The 12,985-nt window shown below is 43.3% G+C and overlaps 1 protein-coding gene across 3 annotated transcripts in view; it reads left to right on the top strand.

Moving 5' to 3' along the window:
- The window catches only part of NBAS (NBAS subunit of NRZ tethering complex), a 782,426-nt gene that overhangs the window by 421,626 nt on the left and 347,815 nt on the right, over positions 1–12,985 (top strand). For 2 of the 3 annotated variants that reach the window (XR_007076390.1, XM_017004317.2), the window contains exon 52: positions 2,264–2,353. Coding sequence is in view for 2 of the 3 variants with exons in the window: in XM_017004317.2 (XP_016859806.1) it covers positions 2,264–2,305 (42 nt within the window). In the remaining variant the exon portion in view is untranslated. Of the gene's footprint in view, positions 1–2,263; positions 2,354–9,016; positions 9,424–12,985 lie in introns of those variants that run through there. The other variant, XM_047444733.1, reaches the window with a different exon arrangement.

The following is a 12,985-nucleotide window of genomic DNA, read 5'->3' as shown; positions in this document are numbered from 1 at the left end:
GGGACCCTTGTTCAGTTTGCTAAGGCATGGTTTCTCTTATGTTCTAGCTTCATAAATGAGACCAATAAATGGTGACTACAGCAGGAAGCAGGATTTTCTGGCTTCTAAAATATATTATTCTTGTTATTTTTGTAAAGGATTTGAGGTGGTTTTTATATAGTGTGTATACACTTGCACACACACATACACACACACACACACACACACCATACACTAAAACCACAGAAGATAGAGGCAGAAAGTAAAAAGCAGTAACTCATATTAAAATCACATTTACTATCTTAAAATCACACTTAAACAGCAATTGAATACCAGATTAAACTCCAAGCTTCCTGGAAGACAAGACAAAAAGGGCCAAGACTATTTGTGAAATCGGGGGGTCTTAAATGCTTTTCTATTCCCCATGATTTCTCTAAGTACTGAAGGCAGCAGACCATTCCTTTTTTCCTGGTAGTTTTTAAAAGCTTCTTACTTTTTATAAAAAAAGATGATAATGGCCTGTGTTAGTGACATTTCAAAGGAAAAAAGTAAATTGGAGATGCACACTTGGGGTCATTGTCAGTCTGGGGTTGGAGCCTCCCTGTGAGAGGCAAAATATTCTTTATTATCTCGCAGCTCCACTGGACTCTTTTACAAAATCCATGCTAGGGCACTGGAGCAGAACCCTTCCTACCTCCTGCCCTCCAAGAACAAACAAAAAATCAGCAGAAAACTTAAGATGTAAAAAAAATGTGTTTGACATCCCAAAGGCAATTGAGAGAAAACAAAAGACTACCCTCTCTTTCTCTTTTTCTCCCAAGAATAAGGTGACTTCTTGGAGCTGACTTCTTTGTTTCACACTGAGCTCACAAATGTGTCTTAATTATTCCACTCTTCATTCTTTACAGTGTCTAAATTCTCTTTATTATTTGAATGGGTCCAGTTCAGCCACTGCACAAAACTGATACATTCAGAGTCTGAAGAAATTAGCCATGAAATGAGCATCTCTTGAATATTGGTTATTGCTTTTTTTTTTGCCCAGTTACTTAATTATTTGTTTGAAGACTCAAAGGTCTGTGGACTCCATTCTGAGGTCTGAGTTTAGAGGAGAACAAGGAGAGTGGTCTTCATTCTCAGGTGCGTGACCCAGGAGTTGGCCTCCAGGTCCTGGGCTCTTTGTCCCATGCCAGGCTGCTCCCCGGGATAAAAGGATTGTATGTGGACAGCACGGAGCTCAGGTCCTAGTGCAGAATAAAATGCTCTGTGAGTCATAACCATTGTGATTTTGTCCATGAGGCTGATCTGAGGACATGACCTCTCTGCTTAAAATGCTTCATAGGCTCCGTTCCAAGCATCATAACCCATCCTGCACCACCTGGACTCTGCACCACTTGGCCTCTGCTTACCTTTCCAGGACATCCTTGTGCTCCCTGCTCCAGCCTCACTAAACCTCTCTCCAATTCTAGCAGTTTCTGGGCTTTTTTCTCCCCTACAAGAGAAGCAGCCCATGCTGTTTCTCCTGGATTTTTCTTACTTTCGCTAGCTGTCCACCCGACTGTTTCCCATCCTCTGCTCTCAGCTCTGGTGACCTCTGCCATGAAAACCTTATCCAATCCCAGATCTAGGTTAGGTCTGTCTATGCAGGAGCTGCCACAGGGACTTGCTGGACCATTCTGTGATTCTCGTGTATTGTGTGTTGGAAAATGGGGAGTGCTGTTGGTGGTGCTGGCAGAAACTGGGCCCTGAGACTGATTTCGGGCTCTTGATGAGTAGAAGCAAAAAATCCTGCCATTTTAGCTGGACGTGGTGGCCTGTAGTCCCAGCTACTCAGTGGGCTGAGACAAGAGGGTTGCTTCAGTCCAAGAGTTTGAGGCTGCAGTGAGCTATGATCGCTCCATTGCACTCCAGCTTAGGTGACAGTGAAAGCCTGTTTCTCAAAACAAAAACAAAAACTCCAACCCCCCTTTTCAAAGTTGTGAGCATACTTCTGCCTCTCAGGGGTACAGAAGTAAAATTTCCCTGGGCAAAGATGATGCTTTTATTTTGAAGAGAACTCTCTTGAGAGGCTCTTTTGTTATAAAAATGTAAAGTTAAGATCCTCCTCTCATCATTTTTTTGGGGGAAAAACTGAAGGTACCATTAACTTGAATGCAGATGTTTTCTTGGAAAAGTTTTTCTGCCTGGACTTGTATATTGCAGGGTTCCATTGAGTCAGAGCTATATGTTCTAATAAGATGCATTTTTCTCACCTGGCATGATGTTTTGTGGCTCTGTTTGATTATAGAATGGACTGAGGTGCAACCGTTGCTTGACCTGGGGAAGGTGAATGTTCTTACTCACAGCAGTTTTCAGCAGACAATCAAGACTAAGACAGGTAGGAATTATCTCCATCTGTTGCTAGAGAAGAGGCTGGAAACAATTTGACTAGATTAATAATATACTAAATATGTCTTTAACACTGACATATGTAAGATGTCTAGACCCAGGCTGCTGTAACAAAATTCCATAAACTGGGTAGCTTATAAAAAACAAATTTATTTCTCAAATTCTGAGCCTGGGAAAGTCCAAGGTGAAGGCAGGTTTGATACCTGGTGAGGTTCTGTTTTCTGACTCATGGATGGTACCTTCTTGCTTTGTCCTCCCATGGTGGAGGGAACAAGGAGTGTCCCTCAGGCCTCTTTGGCAAGGGCACTGTATTAATCGGTTCTCATACTCATATCAAGAACTACCTGAGACTAGGTAATTTATGAAGAAAAGAGGTTTAATTGACTCACAGTTTCACATGGCTGGGGAGGAGTCAGGAAACTTACAATCATGGCAGAAGGTGAAGGGGAAGCAAGGCACGTCTTACATGGCAGCAGGAGAGAGGGAGTAAAGGAGGAACTGCCGCACACTTTTAAACCATCAGATTTCATGAGAATTCATTCACTATCAAGAGAAGAGCATGGGGGAACCAACCCCATGATTCAATCACGTCCCACCAGGTCCCTCCTTTGACACGTGGGAACTACAATTCAAGCTGAGATTTGGGTGGGGACAAAGAGCCAAACCATATCAGGCACTAAACCCGTGTCTCCCTGACCTGATCAGCTGCCAAAGGGCCCACCTCCTAATACCATCACCAGGGGGGTAAGGACTTCAACATATTAATTTGGCAGGGGACACAAACATTCACACCAAAACACCAGTGGTTGACAAGTTATGGCTTGGACCAAATCCAGCCCTCTGCCAAACTTCTTATAAATAAAGTTTTCTTGGAGCCCAGCCACATTCATCCATTGACCTATTGTCTATCACCATTTTCAGGCTACAATAGAACACTTGAAGAGTTGCAACAGAGACCGTGTGGCCCACAGCATATTTGCTATATGGCCCTTTCCAGGGGAAATTTGCCATTTCATAAGGACAATATAGGCTCTGATATGACTGTCCCATTGGGAGTTATGGTCTGTGGGTGGCAAGGGAGTCACCCTGATAAAAGAATACACTCTCATGAACAGCTGAGCCAATAAGAGGATATGCCTGAGCTGGAAATGAGGCTGGAAAAATAGGCTATATAGAGAGACAAGAATCTTCCTGCTCTCTCTGGTCTTAAAATACATGGCTTTTGGACTGTCTGGCTCTTCCTTCAGGTTTGTGTTCTGGAGCCCAGAAAGGATAGAGGCGTTGCCTCTTGACCGGAGAATGGTGTTTGGTGTTGGCGCTTTCCCTCTTGCATCTGTGTGTGCCCTTGCTCCACAGCATGCTTCTTCAACCCACAGCCCAGCCCAGGACAGCTTTGAATGCGACCCAAAACAAATTCGTCAAATTTCTTAAAATATTATGAGATTTTTCTGTGTGTGATTTTTTTTTTTTTTTTTTTAGCTCATCAGCTATCGTTAGTGTTAGTGTATTTTATGTGTGGCCCAAGACAATTCTTTTTCCAGTGTGTCCCAGGGAAGCCAAAAGATTGGACACCCCTGCTCTATGGAGATGGTGTATTTCTATGGCCTGAAGTGGTGGGAGGGGGGAGTTACACTCTCTTTGAAAGAGTCTCTTCCCACTTAGAGTGAGAACAGAAAGCAGCAACTCCACTACCCAGAATCACAAAGCTTCAACGGTTCCCGGATAACTATAAGCAACCCTCCAACCTTCCCTCCATGCTCGGCTCACTCCTCTTCACAACCTTCACCCCAACCAACCCCACTGCTCACTCCTCTGTGTACCGTGCAGCAGGGCGGGAAAGGCCTCTGTTTTGGCTACTGCACCTCGAGCTCCCACTGCACCCCAAGCACGGGTGCCCGCTCACTGCCTGATGACTGAGTGCCACCAATGAGCCACCTCATGCCAAGACTGCACCACCCAAGCACCTAGCTCATCTGCCTGGGGTGCTGTCAGAGTCCAGTAAGTGGTAGCAATGATTCATTTCAAACTCACTCTGCTTCCCCAGGAATAGATAAGCAAACTGCAGAACAGTTTAAGTCATCCTTGGTGAAACCCAAGTCTCATCCCAGCCTCCCCCCAGGCCACCTTGAAGAAGCAAACCTCACCGTCCCCTCCTTAGCTTGAAAAAGTCACCTTAGGAAATCTATTGCGTAAGAGCCACTGATGGAGAAATCTTTTATGATTATACTTTATGCTGACAACAGCTCTAAATTAGAGGGTGCAGCTGACTGGAATGAGCTTAATTCTCCATACAAGTGTGGGCTCTTGGAAAGAAATTTCTTTTTTCAGGTCTAAAATCTATTTTATCTCCCCTAATTAGGAGAATATGTAAAGCAAGACGGGGGAATGGCATTCAATTTGCCATAAAAAGCAAACCTGGTAGTTTATAAGACCACACTTTCCAAACAAGCTCCGACCCATTAGAGGGGATCATACATAATTCAGGAGCCACTTGTTACTGCGTGTATCATGCAAATTCTCTCAAATTACATTTGGAAAAAATGAGGTTCATCTTCTAGCTTTAAATAGACTATTAAGAGAAGGGTAGATATACAAGCCATAAGGAAGCAAATGATTTAAGTAGCCTAAATCAAGGGAGACCTTGAATGAAAGAGTGAACACCCCTCAATTCTGAGCCCCATGTTAAGATAGAATCCAACAGGTAACAAGTTGCATTTCTGACTGTCTGCTGTACAAAGACATCAGCTTTCATCAATAGTGAAGATCTTTCCTTTCTGGGCACTTTTATTTCTGAGATCATCTGGATCATCTTGCCTTCGAGGAGGTTCTCTTCTTGAACTTTAGAGGGGTGTGTGTGTGTGTGAGAGAGAGACAGAGAGAGAAAGAGAGAGAGTCTTAGTTTGTTTAGGCTGCTATAACAAAAATACCATAGACTAGGTGGCTTGAAAACAACAGCAGTTTGTTTCTGGTGGTTCTGGAAGCTGGAAGTCTGAAGCCTCAGGCTGCCAGCACGTTTGTGTGCTGTGAGAGCCTTTCTCCAGGTTGCAGACTGCTGAGTTCTCATTGTTTCCTCGCAGGGCAGAAAGGAGGTGAGAGAGCTCTTTGGGGTCTCTTTTGTAAGAGCTTAATCCCATAGTGAGTGCTTCAGCCTCATCATCTTATCATCCCCCAAAGGCCCCACCTCCTTATTCTATCACACTGGAGGTTACATTTCAACATGTGAATTTGGGGAGGGACATAAACTTCCATTTCATTGCAGAGAGAGAGAGAGAGAGAGAGAGAGAGAGAAAGAAATGTTCATGTATGTGCATAGTAAGGAGAGAGTAGCAGGGAGAGAGTTGCAGGCAGTGGGCATGGAAGTGGGGATGTCTCACAATCCCCGAGGGATTTGTCTGAAAATCCCCTTTTCAGATCTTGTCTGAAAAGTCTAAAGGCTGATCCCTTCCAATTCATCCTCTACATTCATAAAGAGTGATCATTCAATCAGGAAGATCTTTTCCTTCCTGAAACAGAAATAACCATGGCTTCACTCTCAGTTGAGAAAGTAATATATGCTTATTTTAAAAAATTTAGTCCACATGTAATTAAAAATACACACACACACACATTATATCTACCAAAAAATGGGGACCTACTAGCCACATTGTTTTGTAACCTGCTAAATGCAACTGGAGTTTCCTCTTCCTTTGAATCCTCCAGTAGTTCCCCATTGCCTAAGAAGTCAAACACAACTGCCCATTGTAGCATCAACCACCTTCATTGGTAGGTCAGACTCAATTTTCCCATTTTATCTTCCAAAGCTACTGGACATATATGCTGTGGTCCAGCCAAGTTACTAGATTGCTGAATTTCTTAGACATGAGACAGTTTCCCAGTTTGACACCTTTGCTAATGCTGTTCTATCTGCCTAAATAGCCTCCTCCCAACTCCTCCAAATACTCAGATATATTTCATCTCTAAGACCATCTCACCTACCACTTGCTGCAGGAAGCCTTTCTTCATTTCACTTCCCTGCCCCCCCCCCGCTATGTCCTTCCAAATGGATCTTCTTCCCTCTTCTTGAAAACCTCATGTGTACGTCTAGGAGTCAACAGACCAACAAGGTTCTGCCTCTTCTGATTCCTCCACAAGGCTGTGAACTTCCCCAGGGCAGGATATGTTTCTTGTTTGTATCTTTCAACACATAAGCACCAGCACAAGAACTGGTGCATACAGTAGGCCTTAACAACCACTGAACTGATGGAGCAGACACACTTGAATTTAAATAGATCTCAATTTTAAAACACAAGATGCATGATATTTCTTGAGAAAAGATGGTTGAATATTTTTGATAACTTATTTCTTATTCAAATATATGTTTTCTTATTGTACATGATTTAGAAAATAGCACAAACAATAGAGTGTAATTTAAAAATAATTTGTGACCTCACTATCCAGAGGCAACCATGGCTAACAATTTTCTCCTAGTGTTTTTTTTTTTAGTGTGTTTGTATGTGTATATAGTTTCCTATCTTCCTGTTTAAAAAAAAATTATCAAAAAGAAGCTCTAATCATTAAAAATTCTGTTGAGTTGCTGACTTTTAAAAATAGACTTTTTTTTTAGAGCAGTTTTAGGTTCACAGAAAAATTGAGAAGAACAGACAGTACCTGTTTACCCCCTGCCGCACCCCACCAGACTCCTCCACTATGAACACCCTGCACATTTGCTACAATTTGGTACATTTGTTACAATTGAGAACCTATATCGACACATTATTATATCCCAAAGTCCATAGTTTTTATTAGGGGACCATTCTTGTTGATGTATATTGTATGGATTTGTGCAAATGTATGGCATATATCCACTGTTATAATGTCACACAGAGTAGTTTTACTGCCCCCCAAATCCACTGCCCTTAAAAATCCTCCACCTATTCATTTCTTCCTCCCCCTTAACCCCTGGAAACCACTGATCTTTTTACTTTCTCCATGGCTTTTTCCAGAATGTCATATAGTTGGAATTGTACAATATGTAGCTTTTCAGATTGGCCTCTTTCACTTAGAAGTATGTACATAAATGTCCTCCATGTCTTCATGGCTTGATAGTTCATTTCTATTTAGCACTGAATAACATTCCATTGTCTGGATGTACCGCATTTTATTTATCCATTCACCTACTGAAGGACACCTTGGTTGCTTCCAAGTTTTGGCTATTGTGAATAAAGCTGCTATAAACATTCATGTGCAGGTTTTTGTGTGGACCTAAGTTTTCAACTCATTTGGGTAAATACCAAGGAAGATGATATAGTTTGAATATATGTCTCGGCCAAATCTCATGTTGAAATATGATCCCTGATGTTGAAGGTGGGGCCTAGTAGGAGGTGTTTGGACCACGGGGTGGATCCCTCGTTGGTGCTGTCCTCCTGATAGTGAGTGAGTTCTTGCATGATCTGGTAATTTAAAAGTGTGTGGCACCACCCCCTCCCTTGCTCCTGCTCTCCCTGTGTGATGTGCCTGCTTCTGCTTCACTTTTCTTAGTGTGTAAAAGCTCCCTGTAGGCCTTCCCAGAAGCTGAGCATGTGTCAGGGCCATGCTTGTACATCCTGCAGAACTGTGAGCCAATTAAACTGCTTTTCTTTATAAATTACCAGTCTCGGGTATTTCTTTATGGCAATGCAAGAATTGCTTAATACAGAGAAGCTGCTGTCTTTCTGATGTTAGCCTTGTGCACATGTACCCTAAAACTTAAAGTATAATAATAATAAAATTTTAAAAAAATGAGTTAAAGAAGAAAATAATTCATGCTTACCATCTATAATGTTTTGTGATTTTCTAAAAACATTCATATACCTCCTATTTGAACTTCATTGTAGATTGAGAAGCATACAACATGGAGAAATTAAGGCTCAGAGAGTGAAGTAATGAACTCAGAGTCACAGAGCTAGGATGAAGCAGAGACACAACTCAAATTCAGTTCTAAATGCACCAAGAACCATTTCATCAGAGCTGCTTCATAGTAATAGAGGTCGCAGAAGGAAAAAAGCAATATAGTCTCGTTCTCCTCCTGGAGAAACTCAAAGGGAAGAAGTTAGATTTCAGCTTGATATCAGGAAATTGCATATGAGGAGGCTGGAAAGGTCTTTGAAAGCCACTCATTTAAAATTTTTTTAAAATTTATATATACTGAACATCTGCTCGGAGATTATGTGTCAGGCACTGACACAGAGTTGTGAATCCAGAGATTAATTAGAGTCGGAATTCAAGAACCTCGTATAGGAATGCAGTGGAGTCCTTACTTGAAAGCCCTTTAGTATAAAAAGGGTTGGCGTATAATATGTATTTATTCATATGCATGGAATACTGTATTATATATTGTGTTCACTATGAAACATAATAAAAACTATCAAGTTTAGAAAGATGAGACAGCCAATAAATATACATGAAGGTTCTAGTATTTTCTTCTTGCTCTCTGATGTCTCATGGAGACACGTACCACTGTGGAGCCCACTGGTCTAGAAATTAAGAAGACACAGAAGTCAGCACAGGACACAGTGTGGGAAGAGAGAGGGTGGCCCCCTGAGGATGGGAGGGGTCAAGGGAATGGCTTAGCGGAGACTTCGAGAAGAGATGATCCCCGCACTGAAGAATAACAAGACTCTCATCTATGTTTCAGGGTCAGAAAGGCAGCATGGCATAGTGAAAGAGTTGAGAAGCAGAGGATAAGGATCAGCTCTCCAGTTTGGGGGCCCTGTGGCCCTGCCCAAGTCACTCTCCTTTCTAACGCTCATATTCTCCTGTGTTCATTGGAGGTAATAGGACCTGCCTCCAAGAGTTGTAAAGATGAGGTGAGACAGGCTCGGCCAAAGTGCCCCATTGACTGTGTAGGGCTCTGCAGTGCTGTCTTCTTATTTTCAGATGTTTGGTACCTGCCCCTTGGTACCTGGGTACTTGCCATCTGTACCATATGCTGTGTAGAGGGTAAATGTTCATTGACAATAGTGAATACTCCAGAGAAAAATATTAATAATAAAAAAGCAATGTTTGACCCAAATATCCATGAATAAAAAAAATACGAATGAATAATAAGCAAAATGTGGTATCCTTAGAATGGAATATTATCCAGCCATGAAATGAATGAAATACTGATACATAGTTCAACATGGATAAACCCTAAAGACATTATGCTATGTGTAAGAAGACAGCTACAAAAGGCCACATCTTCTATAATTGAATTTGTAGGAAATGTCCAGAATAGGCAAATCTGTACTGACAAAGGCCACCAGGTAGTTGGCAGGGTTGAAGAGTGACTACTTAATGCGTAGAGGGTTTCCTTTTGGGATGATGGAAATGATCTGAAACCAGATGGTTGTGAGGGCTGCGCAACATCATGAATGTACAAAATGCGGCTAATGGCAAGTTTTACGTTATGTGTATTTTAACACACACATAACAAGCAATGTCTGAGCGCTTACTGTATGAGGTGCTGTGAGGACACGGTATGCCTTTGCTCCTAGGAAATGTGTGGTCTCCGTGCGTGAAGCAATACATGCTGAAAATAACTGCATTCAAAGAGCTGCTGAGATGAGAGGAGAACTCATGAGAACTCAAAGGAGGCAGAGGTCAGTTTTGCTGGTGAAATGTACCCAGCCAACTGGCCAGGAACTGAGCCAGGTTCTGAGAATGTCCAGGTGGTAAAAAAGAGTTTGGGCAGGAAGGGCATTTTAGAAAAGGAAGGGCTTGAATTGGGCCCCGAAAGAAGGGAGGGATTTGAATGGGCACAGAATGGGTCAAACTGCGTGCATGCAGGCATGGGAGCCCCGTGTCTGGCTGAGGGGAAAGGATGTGAAATGCCTGGCCTGTAGCTTTGGGACAGGGCAGGGATGCTGGCACATAAGGGAGGCGGGGCATCGAGGAGAAGACTCTGATGCCTCCATTCTTTCCGGTGACTGTCCTGAGCCCCCATTCTCCACTGTAGCGCAGCCTGAATAGTGAAAGGAGGAGCACAGTGAGCCTTGGAATTTGCTCCTGAAGAATTTCCTCTGAGCTACTTCAGCTGCCAGCTCGGAGAGAGAAGCTTGGTGGTTGAGTGATCAGTAAACCCGACAAGGCCATGTGCAACAGGGGAGTTTAAAGGAGGTAATTAAACAAACTTCCCATGCAAGCACCCTTACGGGGATTAATTGAGATTTAAATAATTAAGTATTGCTGGGTAGGCTAGAAGAGAAATACAAATGAAGAAGAATGTTGCTGATGGCACTGAGGCCAGACCCGTGGCAGCCGGAGAGCTGCGGCTGTGCATCAGCTGGGAGGGAGGCAGAGGAGGCAGGGCCCGCCCATGGGCACTCAGGGCCCGCCCAGCCCCCTGCTCAAACCAGCGGCTCCACACATTTCCTGGACCCTTTCCCTCTATCTCCACAGTTCCTTTTGAATCTGTCCTCCTCCTGACTCCAAAGCCCACGCCCTGGTGCCTGACTTCATCGTCTTTCTGTGGGATTCCTGTGACTGTCTCCCGGCCAGTTACCCACTTTGCTCCCTCAGCCTTGCAAGAATTTAACTTCCTGGAACACAGCCCCAGTTGCCCCGCCAAACTTTGCCTCAGTCTGGCCTTCAAAGTCCTCTCCAATGTGTCCCCAGTGACTTTTCCAACTTTATTTCCCATTCGCCCTAGGCCTTTTGCTTCTGTACAAGTGAGCCCTGATCCCACATTTCCCCTGCAGCCTCCTGCCTCCATGCCATTGCACACCCTGGATAATGTTCCCCTTTCCATAAGGCACACCCTGATCTCCCCTAACTAGACATGATCGTGTCCCACTTTGTAGGATATTTATTTATGTGTGTGTCTCATCTCTTCTCAGATTTCCAGCTGTTTTGGCAAGAGATTGTACCTGCTTCACACCCTGAACTGTGAATATCTTGTGATTGCTGTGTTTAAGAAAGAGGCCCAATCCCTTAGCCAAAACCCTGGAGAACAGATGTGCTTTGGAATTTAGAATTTGTCAGATCTTGGAAAGGTATTATGGTGCATCTATTCCATATCATGTAACAGCCCCAGTAGGTCTGGAGTAGTCCCCCGCTGTCAATCACATTAATAATTCTGCTGCAAAAGTAAGGATATTAGCATTAAAAGGATAATTAAAGGCAGTACTTAGTTCAGGCCAGGTTTTGACCAAATAAGTTGAGAAAAACTCAGCTTGTTGTGCTTTTTTTTTATTTTGAAATTGAGGATAAGGGATTGTGGACCTGTATTCCCTTGGGAATTCCCTTGGGTTTCCTCCAGGGATGCTGCTGGAGAGAACAAAGAGCTTGTTTATACACTTCCCCAGCAGACTGCAGAGTACTTCAAACTTAGCTTGCATCAAATAGATCTAACTATAAGTAGAGAGAGTTTAGCTGAACGGGGAATTGGAATTGGAAAGGTGTATATAAAGTGTTAGTGGCCCCAAGAAATACCTCATCGAGTCGCCCTACATTGCTCATGTGCCCATCTGGGTTGGGGGTCAGGGGCTCAGGTGCCCAGGACAGTGCTGCAGCTCTAGCATGTGATTTGAGCCCAATCTTGGGGCCCACATCTTCAAGCTGTTCAGGCCATTCCCCTTCAGCACCACATTTACGATCAGCTTTGTCTGATAATACAGCCATTACACTTTAAAGAGCAAGCAGTCTGGAAAGGTTAGATAAAAGGGTAGGCGTGAGTGATTAAAAGAAAAAATACAAGTCCCTGGGTGAGACAGTAGAGATGTCGAATTAGGTCTTAAAAGAAGAACAGCCTTAATATCGAGGAATCCTTGCTGGGCCCAGGTAACCTAGATACCACCTCTCAATGAAAATGTAGATCTGTTTCCTTGCCAGGCCTCAGTAGCTTTCAAATCACAACTTCTTGGATTTATTGCAGGTCATTAACTGCTGTGCTGCGACACAGGGAAGAAGCCAGAAGATTAAAGTAACAGCCAGGGCTGTTGAGAGAGAATCTGGCTGGTCTTTGTTGCTTGGAGTGTGCTGTTAAATCATTATCACCTGTTAATTCTTGGTGTAACTTTGGGGTGGAAAATTATTATACAGATGGAAAGGATTTTTCAATTAAATCTAAGTCAGTGAGATTTTAAGCAGCTAAGAGTTTGAGATGTGCTTCCTAGGGAGATTAGAACTTGGGTGAGCAAGGCCATGAGGCAGGACCTGCTACATAATTTGCAGTCCAGTGCAAAATGAAAACAACGGGCCCCTCTTTCAAAAATTGCATAGCATTAAACCAAGTGCAGGATCCTCTGAGCATGGGGCCGTCTGTGACTTCCTGGGCCACATATCTGTGAGGCTGGCCCTGCCCCCAGGGCATTCCGAGGCTTTAGAGGGACCAAGATGTAGTGGGAAAATCAAGGAGCTGTATGCTGAGCTAGACAAACCTCAGTCAATTCTCAGTTTTGTGTGTTACTGGTTGTTTGACCTTGGGCAGGTGAAGAAGGTACCTCTATTTCCTCCTTTGTGAAGTGGAGCTAAAAATATCAGTCCTATGGTGATATTGTAAAGATGAAATGAAATCAAGTTTGTAGCGTGCTTAGCAGAGTGTATGATATCTAGTAAGAGCTTTAAATCTTAGTGTTTCATAGCAGTGTTGCTGGTGCCCTGCCATGGCCACCTGTCCCTCCTT

This window comes from Homo sapiens, chromosome 2 (genome assembly GCF_000001405.40).
Source record: "Homo sapiens chromosome 2, GRCh38.p14 Primary Assembly".
Lineage (NCBI taxonomy): Eukaryota > Metazoa > Chordata > Mammalia > Primates > Hominidae > Homo > Homo sapiens.
This window is presented reverse-complemented; position numbering and strand designations above follow the sequence as displayed.